Source organism: Homo sapiens, chromosome 2 (genome assembly GCF_000001405.40).
Source record: "Homo sapiens chromosome 2, GRCh38.p14 Primary Assembly".
NCBI classification, from domain to species: Eukaryota; Metazoa; Chordata; class Mammalia; order Primates; family Hominidae; genus Homo; species Homo sapiens.
This window is the reverse complement of record NC_000002.12, coordinates 46,890,101-46,908,993: the sequence shown is the minus strand read 5'-3', so window position 1 is coordinate 46,908,993 and position 18,893 is coordinate 46,890,101. Positions and strand designations below refer to the sequence as shown.

Below are 18,893 nucleotides of genomic sequence, written 5' to 3'. Positions count from 1 at the left end.
TGGCCTCCCCATCATCTGCAGCTGAGCCAGCGGCAAGGGCATGCTCAGTCCTCCTTTCCTTCTTCCTGTTTCTATGGCTCCTTGACATTCTTCAAGGATGATTCTTATTCCTTATTGCCACCTATAAGTCAGGTATTCTTTTTTCATCATTGTATCACAGGTGGAAGATCTTTAGGCCCAAATGGGGCACATTACTTGTCTGAATCCGGTCTCTCCTTTTTTTCACCACAGACAGACACACACACATACAAATAGACACACAGGTACACATACACAGTCATAGTAGCAGAATCCAGAAAATAGCTAAGGTTTCTTGACTATAACAAGACCTTTTTTAAATCAACACATTCAAACATTGAATCATTTGTTGCAGCTTTTGTCTTGGGCCAGTTAGCCTCACGCATTATACTCGGTTATCCTTTGTTTTTAAGGCTGGGTGCAGTGGCTCACACCTGTAATCCCAGTGCTTTGGGAGGCTGAGGCAGGTGGATTACTTGAGCCCAGGAATTCGAGACCAGCCTAGGCAATATAGGGAAAACCTGTCTCTACTAAAAAATTGCAAAAAATTAGCTGGATGTGGCAGTACATGCCTATGGTCCCAGCTACTTGGGGGGCTGAAGTGGGAGAATCAACTGAGCTTGGGAAGTTGAGGCTACAATGAGCCAAGATCACGCTCCTGCACTCCAGCCTGGGTGGCAGAGTGAGACCCTGTCTCAAAAAAAAAAAAAAGTTTTAAAGGACATATTTTTAAATTGATGGCCTGAAAATGTTATAACAAAATTCTAATAATAAAGAGGAAAGAATACCCTAATCCTGCCAGCATAACAGATGGTCTATTTGACTTTTCCTGCTCCTCTCAAGGCCTTGTCTATCTCTGTGTAATCCTTGAGTGTGGTCTGCCACTGCTGGTGTTTGTTTTTCTGAGCTGGAGGAAGTTTAAGATCTTGAACTTTTCAGAGTCCTTAAGATTTCAGCATGATCCCAGTATCTGTCAATTGGCCTGAACCTGACTGTTGATTTTTAGGCATATCATGGAGCATCTAGAAGGTGTCATCAACAAACCAGAGGCGGAGATGTCGCCACAAGAATTGCAGCTCCATTACTTCAAAATGCATGATTATGATGGCAATAATTTGCTTGATGGCTTAGAACTCTCCACAGCCATCACTCATGTCCATAAGGAGGTAGGTCTGGCAGTGGCTTGGGGGACTGTATCACAGAAAGGCTTCCCTTTGTTAATTTGGTCCCCAGTCTTGTTGACTTGTGTTGTCCTTATGTGCCAAGAGTGCTGCTTCTCCACTGGGCATGATGGCTCGCATCTGTAATCCCAGCACTTTGGGAGGCCAAAGTGGAAGGATCACTTGAGCCAGGAGTTCAAGACCAGCCTTGGCAATATAGTGAGACCCTGTCTCTACAAAACAAACAAAACAAAAATTAAAAAATTAGCCAGGCCTGGTAGTGCATGCCCGTAGTTCTACGTACTCAGGAGGCTAAGGTGGGAGGATTGCTTGAGTCCAGGATGTCGAGGCTATAGTGAGCCATAATCATGCCACCGCACTTCAGCCTGGGCAACAGAGTGAGGCCTTGTCTCAAAAAGAGAAAAAAAGAAAAGAAAAAAAAAGGTGCTGCTGCTTCTTTCTCTTCTGTGTTCTGCCTCTTTCTGTCCAACGATCCTTCCCGCAAAGGATAACTTGCTGAGGCAGAAGTCCCAGGGCTGGGCATTTGTATCTTTAAGTGCTACAGGCATTTCTGTTACACACCAGAGTATGAGAATCAGTGCCTAAAAGACAGACCGTATTCAAACTGCAGAGCAAGGGAGAAGTTGTTTAATGGTGAATTGACACCAAGGGATTCAGGGACGTGGCAGTAATTGAGGGCTTGTGTGATACTGTATGGTGCTCCAAAGTTTCTGAAGCCCTTTCAAGTAGGTTAGAGATCTCGTTGGATCTTTGCAACATCTTGAGTAGGCAGTGGCAGGCATTGTTAATACTTCCATTTTCAGTGGTGCATGCCTGTAGTCCCAGCTACTCATGATGCTGAAGTAGGAGGATCACTTGAACCTGAGAGGTTGAGGCTGTGGCAAGCTGCGATGTTGCCACTGAATTCCAGCCTGGGCAATAGAGCGAGATCCTGTCTCAGAAAACAAAAAACAAACAAAACCCTCCCATTTTCTAGGTGAAGACACTGAAATCAAGATCTTGTGCCAGGCTAAGCACAGTGGCTCATGCCTATTATCCCAGCACTTTGGGAGGTTGAGGCAGGAGGATCGCTTGAGCCCAGGAGTTCAAGACCAACCTGGGCAGCATGGTGATATCCCGTCTCTACAAAAATTAGCTGGACATAGTGATGCTTGCCTGTAATCCCAGCTGCTGGGGTGACGGGGTGGGAGGGTAGTGGGGAGGAACACCTGAGCCTGGGAGGTCGAGGCTGCAGTGAGCTGTGATCGTGCTACTGGACTCCAGCCTGGGTGACAGAGTCAGACCCTGTCTCAAAAAAAAAAAAAAAAAAAAAAAAAAAATCCTCGTGCCTCCACATTTAATGTCATTCCCCTTCTGCCACACTGCCCTCTATAGAGAGGAAGCAAGGCAAAGTTAGCCAGGTGAGTGGGATTACATTCGCTGCTAGGAGTGCAGGTGAGGTTTGAAGGCAGCAGGGAGCATGAATGATTTTGCACAGGAGAATGGCATTGTTTAGGGAAGATCCTTGGTTGTGGGAGACAGACTGAAGGACATGAGGAGAGACTAGTGTTAGGCGGAGGAATTAGGGGTCAGCAGTCCTGGCAGATGAGGATAGTGGTGGTGACAGGAGAGGGAATGGTGAATGTGGGAGATGTGGCAAAGGAAGAACCAGCCAAGGATGTGAACAGCCTCAGCCCACTAACCCTGCTCTTGGAGCATGGGAAATACTTTCTCCTCAAAGATCATAACAGGTTCTGCTCATCGGCAGTGCCTTCTTCCTCTTGTTTTGATGCCAACTTGTTGTCCAATTCGTCACTGTTTCTATTTTATCAGGCAAATTTGTGCACAGAGCTGACCCTCAGGAGGACTGGCACTTTTCCAATTAAAGAAGAATGAGCCATAATGAAACAAATAAGCAAAAGCCTATTTTGAAGGGCCTTCTTTTAACTGGCAAATGTAATTTCTAAACTGGATTATGATAAATTGACTCAATAATACATATTCTCTCTCTATATATCTAGATTCCTAGAAGTAGCCCCATACTCCATTGAAAGTTTTTGGACACATATGAGCGTGGATATTTTGTTGTTTTGTTTTTCCTTTTTTTTTTTTTTTTTTTTAATAAACAGTGCCATGAAAGAACATGGATATTTTGGACGTTAGTTAAGCACTTCTTCCGGTAAAATGCGCAACTCATCATTGTCTAATTTGTATTTTGTAGGAAGGGAGTGAACAGGCACCACTAATGAGTGAAGATGAACTGATTAACATAATAGATGGTGTTTTGAGAGATGATGACAAGAACAATGATGGATACATTGACTATGCTGAATTTGCAAAATCACTGCAGTAGATGTTATTTGGCCATCTCCTGGTTATATACAAATGTGACCCGTGATAATGTGATTGAACACTTTAGTAATGCAAAATAACTCATTTCCAACTACTGCTGCAGCATTTTGGTAAAAACCTGTAGCGATTCGTTACACTGGGGTGAGAAGAGATAAGAGAAATGAAAGAGAAGAGAAATGGGACATCTAATAGTCCCTAAGTGCTATTAAATACCTTATTGGACAAGGGCTTGCTTCAAGCATCTGTATTAGTCTGTATTAATGCTGCTGATAAAGACGTACCCGAGACTGGGAAGAAAAAGAGGTTTACTTGGACTTACAGTTCCACATGGCTGGGGAGGCCTCAGAATCATGGCGGGAGGTGAAAGGCACTTCTTACATGGCAGCAAGAGAAAATGAGGAAGAAGCAAAAGTGGAAACCCCTGATAAGCCATCAGATCTTGTGAAACTTATTCACTATCACAAGAATAGCATGGGAAAGACTGGCCCCCATGATTCAATTACCTCCCCTTGGGTCTCTCCCACAACACGTGGGAATTCTGGTAGATACAATTTCAAGTTGAGATTTGGGTGGGGACATAGCCAAACCATATCATTCTACCCCTGGCCCCTCCAAATCTCATGTCCTCACTATTCAAAACCAATCATGCCTTCCTAACAGTCCCCCAAAGTCTTAACTCTTTTCAGCATTAACGCAAAAATCCACAGTCCAAAGTCTCATCTGAGACAAGGCAAGTCCCTTCCACCTATGAGCCTGTAAAATCAAAAGCAAGCTAGTTACTTCCTAGATACCAACAGGGGTACAGGTATTGATTAAAGACGGCTGTTCCAAATGGGAGAAATTGGCCAAAATAAAGGGGTTACAGGGCCCATGCAAGTCCGAAATCCAGCAGGGCTGTCAAATTTTAAAGTTCCAGAATAATCTCCTTTGACTCCAGGTCTCACATCCAGGTCATACTGATGCAAGAAGTGGGTTCCCATGGTCTTGGGCAGCTCTGCCCCTGTGGCTTTGTAGGGTACAGCCTCCCTCCTGGCTGCTTTCACGGCTGTTGTTCAGTGCCTGCGGCTTTTCCAGGTGCACGGTGCAAGCTGTTGGTGGATCTACCATTCTGGGGTCTGGAGGACGGTGGCCCTCTTCTCACAGCTCCACTAGGCAGTGCCCCAGTAGGGACTCTGTGTGGGGGCTCCCACACCACATTTCCCTTCTGCACTGCCCTAGCAGAGGTTCTCTCCCCTGCCGCTGAGAGGGCCTCTCCCCTGCAGCAAACGTTTGCCTGGGCATTGAGGCATTTCCATACATCTTCTGAAAACTAGGCGGAGGTTTCCAAATCTCAATTCTTGACTTCTGTGCACCTGCAGGCTTAACAGCACATAGAAGCTGCCAAGGCTTGGGGCTTCCACTCTGAAGCCACAGCCCGAGCTGTATGTTGGCCCCTTTCAGCCATGGCTGGAGTGGCTGGGACACAAGACACCAAGTCCCTAGGCTGCACACACATGTCAGGGGCTGCCCTGACATGGCCTGGAGACATTTTCCCCATGGTGTTGGGGATTAACATTAGGCTCCTTGCTACTTATGCAAATTTCTGCAGCTGGCTTGAATTTCTCCCCAGAAAATGGGTTTTTCTTTTCTATTGCATAGTCAGGCTGCAAATTTCCAAACTTTTATGCTTTGCTTCCCTTATTTATAAGGGAATGCCTTTAAAAGCACCCAAGTCACCTGTTGAACACTTTGCTGCTTAGAAATTTCTTCCGCTAGTTAACCTAAATCATCTCTCTCAAGTTCAAAGTTCCACAAATCCCTATGGAAGGGGCAAAATGCTGCCAGTCTCTTTGCTAAAACATAACAAGAGTCACCTTTACTCCAGTTCCCAACAAGTTCCTCATCTTCATCTGAGGCCACCTCAGCCTGGACTTTGTTGTCCATATTGCTATCAGCATTTGGGGCAAAGCCATTCAACAAGTCTGTAGGAAGTTCCAAACTTTCCCACATTTTCCTGTTTTCTTCTGAGCCCTCCAAACTGTTCCAGCCTCTGCCTGTTACCCAGTTCCAAAGTCACTTCCACATTTTGGGTATTTCTTCAGCAGGTCCCAATCTACTGGTACCAATTTACTGTATTAGTCCGTTTTCACGCTGCTGATAAAGACATACCCGAGACTGGGAAGAAAAAGTGGTTTAATTGGACTTAAAGTTCCACATGGCTGGGGAGGCCTCAGAATCATGGTGGGAGGCAAAAGACACTTCTTACATTGTGGCAAGAAAAAATGAGGAAGAAGCAAAAGCAGAAACCCCTGATAAACTGATCAGATCTCATGAGACTTATTCACTGTCACGAGAATAGCACGGGAAAGACTGGCCCCCATGATTCAATTACCTCCCCCTGGGTCTGTCCCACAACACGTGGGAATTCTGGGAGATACAATTCAAGTTGAGATTTGTGGGGGGACACAACCAAACCATATCAGCATCCTTTCAAGAATATTAGATAATTGGAGCTGAGTACTCAGGAACTTGACTGTAGTAGAATACTGCTAGTTTCTTAATTTTAATTCACATCACCTGAAAAGTAAAACAACAGGCTTTGCCAAGTGGATGCTTTTCAGTAACAGTGAAGTGGAGTGAATACCAAATGTTTGCCCTGGTGGTTCCTATCTCTTCAGGCAAACATGGTCAGTATTCTGTAAAGTTCCCCTGGCCTAAATGATTACTTGCTCTGGGCAAGTGGATATTTATTAGGCTATTTCAAAGCCACAGCATAAGAATGTCAGCCTAGCCACAGAGTCTGAGATTCTGAGTTCAGCCTAGCCACAGAGTCTAAGATTCTGTATCCTCTGACATTTTGGAAATGATACACTACTGGCTTAAGTGATGACTCTTTCAGATTTTCAGTATTTTATACAACTACTGCCACATCCTTATACTTTATTGCTTTTCTGTCTTCTTCAACCTGGGAGAGACCCTGAATTTGAGTGTGTTCTCTAATCAATAGTGGTTTAGCTTTCTTTTCTATTTCACTCGTTTCTAGGGTTTTTTATTTGCAGTTTAGGAACTATTAGGAATGTCAGGACTTTATCAGCAGGGGTAAAACTACCACCTGGCCTAGCCTAAGTAGGAAGTGAAAAGATAATTCACCAAACAATGATTAATCAGATAGAAGTTCTAGTCAAGAGGGATATTGTTGAAGTTACCTCTTTTAGCCTAGATACATGGATTCTTTTCAAATCAGGAAAGATTAGAAAAGGAACCCAAAAAACCCTTTAACAGTGTGAATCTTTATAGTATTTGAAAATGAGAAGAAGCAGCAGATTGTAATTTGGTTTATTGGATGTGATGGACGTTCTGTAATAGAAAACCTGAAACGATGATTGAATGGGAAAAAGAGACTACAAAATTTGTCGTAGGATGTATACAGACTTATTTTCTTTATTACAGTATTATAAGAAAACATATGTATTTGTAAAAATGGTTTCCTGTGTCAAGTATTTGTGCAGTCAGAGCTGACTTGTAAACTATTCTTGTAATAGCTCATTATTTTGAAAGATTTATATATGATGAATTCTGGATATATGACCAATAAAACTGATGAAGCAAAACCTCGAGCAGTTGATTTTGTTCACATCAGCTTCTCCTGCCACATGCAGGGTGTGTTTACTACAAATGTTCACATGTGCCTGCTCTTATCATAGTTCCTGTGACTATCTTCGGCTATACCCTGCTCCTTTTGCAGGAGTCAATTCTCAGAATTCAAAGTTACTTTCCCCTTTTAGGCATTTTTTCTTCTGAATGAAATCACTTTTGGATCTTCATTCTCTGGTCAAATTTAAATTATGACACCATTCTCTAGGAGACTGCATAGCGTTTTCCCCTGGTCTGGCGACTGTTTTTTAATTTGATAGCATTATTGAAAACATACCAGACCCAAGCAAAAAAAGTCTCCCCTGGCATTTTGAGAAGACACACTTTTTTCTGCCTTTTAAAAGGAAATTATCATTGCCTCCCTCCGTACCCTCTGAGACCCTCGGACCTTGCACTGACCCTTCTTCATCCAGAACTACCCCTCTGGATGGATCTAGTGAATGGGCTCCCAGTTGTTGGCAGCTGGGAGAGGGAGAGAAGCAGATCCTCAGATAGTGGAATCACCCCATCAAACAGACAAGGCTGGAACACCTTCCTTCTCCACAGCTGGCTGCTGTTAGTAACTATTCCATGCTGGCCTTTGTGGTCCTTGCCTGCCCTTCCTTATAAAAAATTCTCCTGATGGGAGAGTTTCCTGGGACATCAGGGACACAGCATGATGGGCCCTTCCCTGCATATGCCCTCTATCTCCCACACATGAGGCCTTGGCTTCTTGCAGCCTGCCTCAAGAATTCTTCAGAATGTATAAGGAACATCGCTGCACCCCAGTTTCCTTTTCTCTAAAATGGAGGTAAGTATATCCAGCAGAAGCAGCCTTATATGAAGAAAGAGCACAAGCTTTGGACTCAGGCATGCCTGAGTTGAAATCCTAGGCCTGTTTCTTAGCATTGAAGTTTCTATACTTCAGTTTCTCATCTAAAATATAACTATAATAACAGTTACCTGCAGAGGATTAACAGGATTAGCAAAATGAGAGAAAGTAGATAAAGCACCTAGTGCTGTGCCTGGCACAGAGTAGGTGCTAAATAAACAGTCATCTGTTCCCCAGCCTGGCTGAAGAGCCTGAGCCCCTTCCTCATTGCAAACTAGGGGATGGAGGGGCTTTGAAGAAATTGATGACTCTTTAGGGGCAAGGTTCAAAGGGGCTTCTCAGCTTCTTACATTCTTCCATATAAATGCTGAGTGAATGAATGGATGAATTAATGAGTGACTTCTCTCAAGGAGGAACTAAGGGTCACGGCAAGTACAATGAACAACACAAAAGTATTGACATAGGAGCCAGACCAAAGGGGTTTGTGGTTCACCTCGTCTGACAGGTGACTTCTCTGTCTCTGAAGAAAGTGAGCCAGAGAAACTCTCAGCTTGGAAATACCAAGCAAAAGAGAGCGGGAATGAGAGACCATGGTGAAAACAGAACAGCAATGAACTACATGTGATCACAGCAGCCAGGTTCGCACGCCCTAGGAATGAGGTTAAATGTTCTTTTTCTAGAGAAACTGAACTGCCCCCAGGGAAAGGATCTTCAAGTCCTGACATTTAGGAGTTCCTATGAAAAATCTGGCTGGCCTCCTCCCCCAGCAGAGAAGCCACCAAACTGAGCCCTTCCATGCCCCGATAGCATCAGATCAGCTTTCTAGTGTCTCACACTTAAATCTAAATGGATTCTTTAGAATCATAAGACAGCTGAAGGAAAGCATTTTTTGTTTGTTTGGTTTTTTTTTTTAGAGTCTAACTGTCGCTCAGGCTGGAGTGCAATGGCACAATCTCGGCTCACTGCAACCTCCGTCTCCCGGGTTCAAGCGATTCTCCTGCCTCAGTCTCCCGAGTAGCTGGTATTACAGGCGCCTGCCACCATGCCCAGCTAATTTTTGTATTTTTAGTAGAGACGGGTTTTCACTGTGTTGGCCAGGCTGGTCTCAAACTCCTGACCTCATGATCCGCTCACCTCGGCCTCCCAAAGTGCTGGGATTACAAGCGTGAGGCACCGCACCCAGCCTGAAGGAAAGCTTTAAGGTGAAGCAGAAATCAAAACAAACAGAAAGGAAACATCAAGGAGATAATGCAGGGACTAGAAGATAACTTTTAAAAATTATAATCAGTATCCTCAGAGAAGTAGGACTTCATCACATCCATGAACAACATTCAGATGCCAATAAAACAAGGAACAACTGGAAAAGAGAATCTAAAAATAAAAATGATGATACCCCTCCCCCATGCTTTTTCTTAAAAGGGTTAAACCATAAGCTCAGGGAAATCTCCCAGAAAGCAGAACAGAAAGACAAATAGATAAGTGATAACAGAGAATGGATGAGAAAATAAGAGGATCTATCGTGGACATTTAATATCCAATCAATAGGAGTTATTAGGAAGAAAAGACAAAATGCGATACGGGGAGGAGAGTAACCAAAACCAACTCAACCTGGAATGAGAAACAAACGGGTCCAGAAGGTGGGAACGTAATAATTTTTTTGCCAAATAATGAACTGGCTTCAGACCAGACCAAGTCTAGAGCTCACCGTGCCACCACGCTCTGCTCTCCTCCCCATCTTCAGATCTGCATTCTCCGGCTCCGCGTAGGGGCAAGATGGCGGCGCCCGCTCCAGAGCATGCGCCTCAGCTTCAGGAAAAAGCCTATCACGGCACACCTATGCCACACACCTGTGCCACGGCTGACCTAGAAGGCTCTATGGCATAGTGCTAAGAGAATGAACTCTGGCGTCAGACTGTCTTGGTATCAGTCCTGGTTTTGCCACTTATGAGCTCTGTCGCTTGGGCATGCTACTTAGTGCCTTTGTGCCTCAGTTTCCTCATATGACAATAGGGATAATAATGATGGTATCACCTCATCTGGTCACTGTGAGGGTTAATTGAGTTAACATGGTAAAATCCTAACAACGAAGCCGGGATAGAGGAAGCACTTTTTCAGTGACAGCCAGCATTATTATTCCCAGTCCACCCCTGGACAAATCACTGAGGCCAGGGCCATGCCACATGGGCCAGTTGGCTCAGGCCTTGGTTATGTGCTGCATCCTGGGTGAGGGGCTGGAGCCCCACTGGTAATAAAATGATTGACAGTGGGGAGGAGGCATTTCAGAGAAGGAAATCCAGGTACAATTACCGGAAGAGGCGGGTGGGGAGCTGCTGCACGGGATGCCATAGCATGATTGGCAATGGACTATTTGCTTCTTTCAGAGAAATCTCCTTCCTCGCCGCTATCTGGTATTCTGGCTCCATGGCTCTGCTGAGGCCATTATTATACTGTATTGGAAGGCTCGGGCCTTCAGCAGAACAGTCCAGAGGGCCGTGGGCACCGTATTCTCGCCTGTGCCCCCACCATCAACAAGTGGGGAAGCTGTGTTCCCTATTCTTTCTGACAGCACATCATCATCCAGTTTTGCCCCCTGACTGCCGGGAATCACTCAAACTTACCTCCCAGGAACAAAGACTGGTTTTCAGACACGATCCCATCTAAAACCATTTTAGGAAAACAAAAATTATTCAGCTATGCAAGGGCCATTTGAGCCGATCTACACCTCTCTACTTCTTAACCCAAAGCATCTGCACTGGGGTTGCTTCCCCTCACCCCAGGCATTCCTTAGTAGGGAGGAGTGCCTGCTTTGCAGCCAGGAGACTGCCAGATCCCTTCAGGGGGATGCTTCCTGAGCAAGTGGGAAGGTCTGCCTACAAAAATTAAGTCACCCACCCAAGTCCTATAGCCAGGAAGAGAGAATAGAAATATGCCAAGAAGGCGCATGAGAGATGAGATGGGAGGCAAACGGGAAGGTCAGCCATGTTCTGGTCTGTGCCCAGGATTCGATGGCACCAGAGTGCTGAATTGCAGATGGGAACAGGACTGGGAAAGTCTACAGGATATTGTGTGAGGATGAACATTTAGCAGGGGAACTCAAGGGAGGGGAGTTTCTATGTCAAATGTAATTGATTTTTACAGTAATGCTCTTTAAAATGTATAAATGTGACATCTTTTCCCACTCTGTGCTTGACTACACAACTGTAATTCACTCTGTCACTCTTGGTGCTACAGGAATAAAATGCTGGTGTTTTATTATAAAAAAAACTTTCATTAAAGATCATTTGAAAATACGGAATAGAGGAGGGATGAAAATACAATCCAATTGTCCAATATAGCCATTGTATTACGGTCTATCTCCTTTTGATGTTTTTTTCCTGTTTCTATTTTGTTTGTTTCTTACATACTTGTAATCGTGATATTTATACAATTGTATGTTTGTTTGTTTTATCAAAGGCATGCTCATGCATAAAACCTTTTCTATTTTTACCATTATTTTTTGAGGAAATTGAGTTACTGAGGTTTGAGCAATTTTAAACCTTGGTCAATATTGCTAAATTGCTGTCCCAAAGAGTTACTCTAATTAAAACTTCATTCACATTGTATATAAAGAGGCTATTTCCTTTAGCTAGACTCATAGCATATACCAACAAGTGTTTCCCTAAACATAGAGCAACGAGATATTAGTGCTTTTAAATTTCTGGTCACATTAGTGCTGTATACACCAGCACTATATATATCTACCATTTTATTCAGTTGTGTGTTTGTTTATTTGTTGATTCATTCATTGGATATTTATTGTGTGTTTGCCATGTAACTTCTTTCGTCTAGGCTCTGGAGTTAAATAGCTTCTGAAGAAGAGAAAAAGCAAGAAGACTTTTTGTTTCTAATTTTTTTTTTTTTTTTTTTGTAGAGACTGGGTCTCATTGTGTTGCCCAGGCTGGTCTCAAACTTCTAGGCTCAAGCAACCCTTCCACCTCAGCCTCCCAAAGTGCTGGAATTACACGTGTGAGCCACCATGCCCAGCTTAAAGGCTTCCCCTGAGAGTATTTTCATCAGAGGACACAGATGTATTTTTGCATAGCATCCTCAATAAAAAGAGCTAAGTCACATTTCCACCTCAAGAGAGAATTCATTCTATTAAGAACTCTATCTAGCTATCTGTCATCTATCTATCTATCTAGCTATCATCTATCTGTCTATCTATCTATCTATCTATCTATCTATCTATCTATCTATCATTTCAACCACGGAATTAATAGCAGAAACCATGAACATTATATCTGAACTTTTTGGATCTTTAAAAACCAAGCAGGACTTCTGCTTCTAGGAAGATGGAGTAGAGGCACTTCCCCCTAATTTTTCTTGCAAATTACAACAAAAACCCTGGACATTATAAAAACAACAACAAGAAGATTCTGAAAAGTGGAGAAAATAAAGCAGACTGTCCAGGGACCTTGCGACCTGAGCAACAACATGGCAGTGAGTTCCCTGGTTTTTCCTTTTGCCTCATATATGTAGACTTGGAGCTAAGGAAGCAGGAGCTCAGAAACACCAAAGGATGTAGAAAGGCCCCAGTAAAAACTTGCTGTCTCTACCCAAAGGATGAAGAAAAGGACAAGCAAGACAGAAAGCTTCTAGATAATAACCGCTCTGCTCCAACCAAACACCACAGGAAGGCTGCAGCCCCACCTGCATCCATGGCAGCAGAGTGGGGAGCCTAGACTTCCACCCTCACCAGGCCTCGCCAAGGCACCCCTCCTTCTTTCTGCTATGGTAGCATCAGAGGAGGCCAAGGAAGGAGCTGGGATTATCCCTGGGTGGTAATGAGCCCCCCTTCTGCCCACGGGGTTAGTGGAGAACATACAAGAAGCCTGGACCCCTAACTGTCAATAGGGAGGCTCCCCTCCCCTTCCTGCTGGATGGTGTCAGAAGAGGCCTACTGGAGAGTCAGGACTTTCAGCACTGCCCAGTGATAACAAGGTGATGTTCACCACAGTGTCAGGAGAGACCACTTGGGAGCCCAAACTCCCACCCCTGCCTAGCAGTAATGAGAAGTCCTTTCCTTGAGTGTCACTGGAAGCAGAGCAGGGAGCCTGGACACCTGTCAGTGATACAGTGGCACACCTCCTTTACCCTGCCAGAGGGGTGTCCTAGAATACCAGCTAAAGCAGAAGGTTTACATAAGATCCAGTCTTATAACATATTACAAAAATATTCAGGTTTCAGTTAAAAAAAAAATAAATAAATAAATAAAAATCGGTCTTCATACCAAAAACCAGGAAGATCATGAATAAAGGAAAAAAGATGTCAACACTGAGAAAACAGATATCAGAATGATCCGATGAAGATTTTAAAGCATCCATAGTTAAAAGTGCTTCAATGAACAATTATGAACATATATAAAACAAATGAAAACAACACATCTCAGCAAATAAATATAAAGAAGATATAAAGAAAAGTCAAATAAAAATTTTAGAACTGAGACATACAATAATTGAAATAAAAAACTCAGTGGGGCCGGGTGCGGTGGCTCATGCCTGTAATCCGGGCACTCTGGGAGGCCGAGGTGGGTGGATCAGGAGGTCAGGCATTCGAGATCAGCCTGGCCAACATAGTGAAATCCCATCTCTACTAAAAATACAAAAAATGAGCCGGGTGTGGTGGCAGGTGCCTGTAATCCCAGCTACCTGGGAGGCTGAGGCAGGAGAATTGCTTGAACCTGGAAGGTGGAGGTTGCAGTGAGCCGAGATCATGCCACTGCACTCCTGCCTGGGCAACAGTGCGAGACTCCATCTCAAAAAACAAAAACAAAAACAAAAACAAACAAACGAAAAACAGTGGATAGGCTCAATGGCAGAATGGAGGGGACAGAGGACAGAATTAATGACCTGGGTGACAGAACAATAGGTGTTACCCAGTCTGACCAACGGAGAGAAAATAGACTGAAAAATGCATGCTCAGAGCCTTAGGGACCTGTGACCTATAACAAGAAACCTAACATTCCTGTCATCAGAGTTCCAGAAAGGGAAAAAGAGAGTGACTGAAAAAAAAAATACTCAAAGAAATGGATGAAAACTTCATAGATTTGACAAAAGACATGAAGCTATAGACTTAAGAAGCTGAGCAAACCCTCAAGAGAGTAAACTTAAGAAAAGCTATTCCAAGACACATCATAGTCAAACTTCTGAGGACTAAGGACAAAGGAAAAAAATCTTAAAAGCAGTGCAAGAGAAACAACAGCTCGTATATAAAGGAAAAACAATGGAATGACGGCAGCTATCTCAACAGAAACCATGGAGGCCAGAAGTAAGTGGCACAACATTTTTCAAGGCCTGAAAGAACTGTCAATCCAGAATCCTATGTCCATTCCAAATATCCTTTAGGAATGAAGGGGAAATCAAGATATTCTCAATTAAAGGAAAACTAAGAGAATCTGTCCCTAGCAGATGTACCCTAAAAGAATGGCAGAAGGAAATTCTTTTATTTATTTTTATTTTTTTATTTTTTGAGACAGAGTCTCACTCTGTTGCCCAGGCTGGAGTGCAGTGGGACAAACTCGGCTCACTGCAACCTCTGCCTCCCAGGTTCAAGCAACTCTCTGCCTCAGCCTCCCCAGTAGCTGGGATTATAGGTGCCCGCCACCACGCCCAGCTAATTTTTGTGTTTTTAGTACAGATGGGGTTTCACCATCTTGGCCAGGCTGGTCTTGAACTCCTGACCTCGTGATCCACCCACCTCTGCCTCCCAAAGTACTAGGATTACAGGTGTGAGCCACTGCGCCCAGCCAGAAATTGTATTTTTGTTGTTGTTCTGTTTTGGTTTTGTTGTTGTTGTTGTTTTCTTAGCATCTACATTAAAGGCGCAAACTGAAGGAAATTCTTTAAGCAGAAAAACAATACATAAGAGAGACTTAGAATATCAGGAACATGGTAAGCAACAATACAGATAAACACAATAGACTTTCTCCGCTTGAATTTTCTAAATTATGGTTAGTGATTGAAGCAAAAATTGTAACATAGTCCAATGTTCTAAATGTATGTAGAGGAGATATTTAAATGGGGGGAGGGTAAAAGAATGTAAAGAAAAGTAAGTTTTCTATATGTCACTTTAAGTAGTAAAACGACACATGTAAAATGGTAGAGCCACCCTGGAAAGCAATTGGCAGTTTCTTAAAAAACTAAACACATAACTACCGTATGACTCAGCAATTGCATTTATGTTCACACAAAAGCCTGCACATGAGTGTTTATAGCAGTTTTATTTGTGATAGTCAAACCTGGAAACAGTGAATGGTTAAACAAACTGTGGCACATCTGTTCCATGGAACACTACTCAGCAATAAAAAGGAGCAAACTCAGCAGAAAGGAAACAAACACGCTACAGCCTGGATGAATCTCCAGAAAATTGTACTGAGCACAAAAAGCCAATCCCAAAAGGTTATATACTGTATGATTCCATTCATACTGGATTCCTCAAATGACAAAATTATAGAAATGGAGAACATATTTGTGGTTGCCAAGAATTAAGGAAGGGGTGGGAACAGGAGGGTGTGGGTGTAGCTATCAAAGACCAACAGGAGAGATCCTGTAGTGATGGGGATGTTCTGTTCCTTGACTGCACCAGGGTCAACATCCTGGTTGGGATATTGTATTATAGTTTTGGAAGATGCTATCATTAGGGGAAAACAAGGTCAAGGGTATGCAGCATCTCTCTCCATTATTTTTTACAACCTCATGAGAATCTACAATAATCAAAATAAAAAGTGTAATTTAAAAAAAAGTGTTAAGGCCGGGTGCCGTGGCTCTATAATCCCAACACTTTGGGAGGCCAAGGCGGAAGGATTGTTTGAGCCCAGGAGTTCAAGACCATCCTGGGCAACATAGTGAGACTCTGTTTCTATTTATATTTTTAAAAATTAAAAAAAATTAAAAAGAAGTGTTGAAGGCAACATAATCTTTTCAACACCACAATGGCAGTTTGAAACTTCAGCCCTCTGGGACAGTATCTCACTAGGCCCATTACTGGGTGTTTAGCCCCAGGGACTGTATTGGTAGTGCTCTCGATAAAAGCCTGTTTCAGAGGCTTTCAGAGAATTCGCTTTGCTCTGACAGAATCAAAAGGAAACCTCATCGCTGGGCATTTTCTGTCCATGGATTTCCAATTCCCCCCTGGGTGGCTAGGGAAGGACTGCAGGTCATGCCTGTCCAGAGTGATGAGCCCTGCTGCCCAGGGAGGGGAGGGAGAGTTTGAGGGGGTGGTGTAGGGTTGGCCTCAGTGGCTCAAGTCCCACAGGACTGAACAAGCCTGAAACCAGAGATCCAACAGGCATGCAAATCAAGGAGATCTTGGGGAGAGATCCTGTGTCTCTCGCATGCCAGGGAATCAGAGTGCAGGAAGTAGTAAGGGCTTAGCCATGAGGGGGTCTCAGGTGTCTGTAGTTAAATTCCTGGGCTCTGGCCGGTATGAGAAGGGAACAAGGTAACCGTCTCTAAAGGGACAAAGATGTGGTGGATGCTAAGCCAGGTGCCCCTGGTCTTTTCTTAAAGGGTTTTGGAAGTGCCTATTCTTGTAGCCTGTGGGTTAATGGGAACCCAGGAACCCATCCATGACAACCTCGTCAACAGCCCAGCCTTGGGGTCCTGGAGCAGGTCACGGGACGGGAAGAAGGTGGCGCAGGTGGAGCAGAGGCTGATGGTAACTGCATGGAGTCCAGCTGGGGAAGTCTAAGGCCACAGCTGACCACCTCCCCTGCCTCAAGGTGGGGCCTCCAGGCTACAGCTCGGGCACCTGTGTGCCTCCCTCTCTGCTCTTCTCACAGTTCATCCCCTCCAAGAAATCAGACCTGCCCAGCCTCACTGACCACAGCTTCAGAGCTAGGCCTGGATGCCTACCCAAGCTGGGCCAACACATACTCTCCCCTGGGATTTGACAGGGCCTGAGAAGCACAGCGGCAGGCAGGAGGCATGGGAAGGCACAGGAGTGGTAGAGCTCCGTGCCCTTGCTACTCAATGTGTGGGCCACACACCAGCAGTGTCACCCAGGGGTTTATGAATGTGGAACATCAGGATCCACCCAGGTCAGTTGAGTCAGAATCTACTTTTTTTTCCTCCAGATCCCACAGGACTGAAGAATCTACTTTTCAACAGATCCCCAGTGATTTGCATGCTCATTTAAATTTGAGAAGCTCTGCTCTGGAGAGGTCCCACAACACTTATCCCCAAGAGGCCTGAGCTGCCCAGTTCCTACTGCTCTGAGAAGTGGGGTTCCATGCTCCCTTGGATTCAAAGGCTCCTGTTGACTTGCCTTTTTCTAACTCTGGCCAGCTTGGTTTCTGTATTTCTTTTTTTTTTCTTTTTGAGACGGAGTCTCACTCTGTCCCCCAGGCTGGAGTGCAGTGGCGCAATCTCAGCTCACTGCAAGCTCCGCCTCCCAGGTTCACGCCATTCTCCTGCCTCAGCCTCCCAAGTAGCTGGGACTACAGGCACCCGCCAAAACGTCCGGCTAATTTTTTGTATTTTTAGTAGAGACGGGGTTTCACCGTGTTAGCCAGGATGGTCTCAATCTCCTGACCTCATGATCCACCCGTCTCGGCCTCCCAAAGTGCTGGGATTACAGGCGTGAGCCACCGCACCCGGCCTCTGTATTTCTTTTAACGAAGAAAACCTAATCAATGCACACGGGCAGGTCTGGCGGGGACAGTATGATTCAAGGGGAGGCTGACCTTGCCCAGAGCATCAGGCAGTTTGCCATACAACCAAACGCCCCCCACAGAGGGCCAGTCCTTTGTGTTCATGAATGTTTTGAGTCAGGGGAAAAAATAAATAGGCCAGGTGTGGTGGCTCATGCTTGTAATTCCAGCACTTTGGGAGGCCAAGGCAGATGGATTGCTTGAGCTCAAGAGTTTGAGACCAGTCTGAGCAACATAGTGAGATCTTGTCTCTACAAAAAATAAAAAATTAGCCAGGCATGGTGGTATATGCCTGTGGTCCCAGCTATTTGGGAGGCTGAGGCAGAAGGATCACTTGAGCCTGGGAAGTTGAGGATGCCTTGAACTGTGATCACACCACTGCACTCCAGCCTGGAGGACAGAGCAAGACCTAGTCTGAATAACAAATAAAATAAAATAATAAATAAATAAATAAATGCTCTGAGTCTTGTTAAATGAAAATCCTCCTGAAATGAAAGTTTCTAGTCATTTATCCTTTAGTATGAAGTACCTTCTCAGATTCTTGCCAAAGAGACCACTTTCTAGGTTGGACATAGGAGAAGTCACAGAAACCTTTCTATTTTTACACTTTGATTAAAGGCCTGGCTCTGCTTCCTCAGAGAAGGCCTGTATTGAAATTGCCCTGGGGCTGTCTTTTTTTATTTTTTATTTTTTGAGACAGGGCCTTGCTCTGTCGCCCAGGCTGGAGTGCAGTGGCGCAGTCTCCGCTTACTACAAGCTTGCAACCTCCGCCTCCTAAGTTCAAGGCAGTTCTCCTGCCTCAGCCTCCAGGGTAGCTGGGATTACAGATGCCCACCAACACACCCAGCTAATTTTTTTTTCCCTTGAGACGGAGGCTTATCCTGTCGCCCAGGCTGAAGTGCAGTGGGGCAATCTCGGCTCAATGCAACCTCTGCCTCCCAGGTTCAAGTGATTCTCATGCCTCAGCCTCCTGAGTCGCTGGGATTACAGGCGCCTGCCACCATGCCCGGCTATTTTTTTTTTTTTTTTTTGTATTTTTAGTAGAGACGGAGTTTCCCATGTTTGGCCACGCTGGTCTTGAACTCCTAACCTCAGGTGATCCACCTGCCTCGGCCTGCCAAAGTGCCAGGATTATAGGCATGAGCCACCGCTCTCTTTATTAAAAGAGAGCTCCTGGGGCTCTCTTTTAATAAAGTGCAAAGTCCTGTGTCTTTTCTCATCTGGGAAGCCC

At 44.5% G+C, this 18,893-nt stretch overlaps 1 protein-coding gene and 1 long non-coding RNA gene across 8 annotated transcripts in view, besides 1 other annotated feature; one reads left to right on the top strand and one right to left on the bottom strand.

Annotated features, from left to right (window-relative positions):
- The window catches only part of MCFD2 (multiple coagulation factor deficiency 2, ER cargo receptor complex subunit), a 39,986-nt gene extending 32,862 nt beyond the window's left edge, over positions 1-7,124 (top strand). For 4 of the 7 annotated variants that reach the window (NM_001171511.3, NM_001171510.3, NM_001171509.3 and 1 more), the window contains 2 exons: positions 1,025-1,184; positions 3,400-7,120. In NM_001171511.3, the coding sequence (NP_001164982.1) occupies positions 1,025-1,184; positions 3,400-3,531 (292 nt within the window). In that variant the 3' untranslated portion in view covers positions 3,532-7,120. Of the gene's footprint in view, positions 1-1,024; positions 1,185-3,399 lie in introns of all 7 variants that reach the window. The other 3 variants (NM_001171508.2, NM_001171507.2, NM_001171506.2) reach the window with 1 other exon arrangement.
- On the bottom strand, positions 316-9,719 carry MCFD2-AS1 (MCFD2 antisense RNA 1). Its single transcript, NR_199007.1, has 2 exons — positions 9,680-9,719; positions 316-2,110 (listed from the first exon to the last, which is right to left on the bottom strand). It is a non-coding gene; the product is annotated as an MCFD2 antisense RNA 1 (long non-coding RNA).
- Positions 18,506-18,690: a silencer, noted in NCBI's record as "fragment chr2:47117443-47117627 (GRCh37/hg19 assembly coordinates)". NCBI's record gives its function as "represses an EF-1alpha promoter that drives an FKBP-Casp9 reporter gene in an ReSE screen in K562 erythroleukemia cells {active_cell/tissue: K562}" and the evidence as "EXISTENCE:reporter gene assay evidence [ECO:0000049][PMID:32094911]".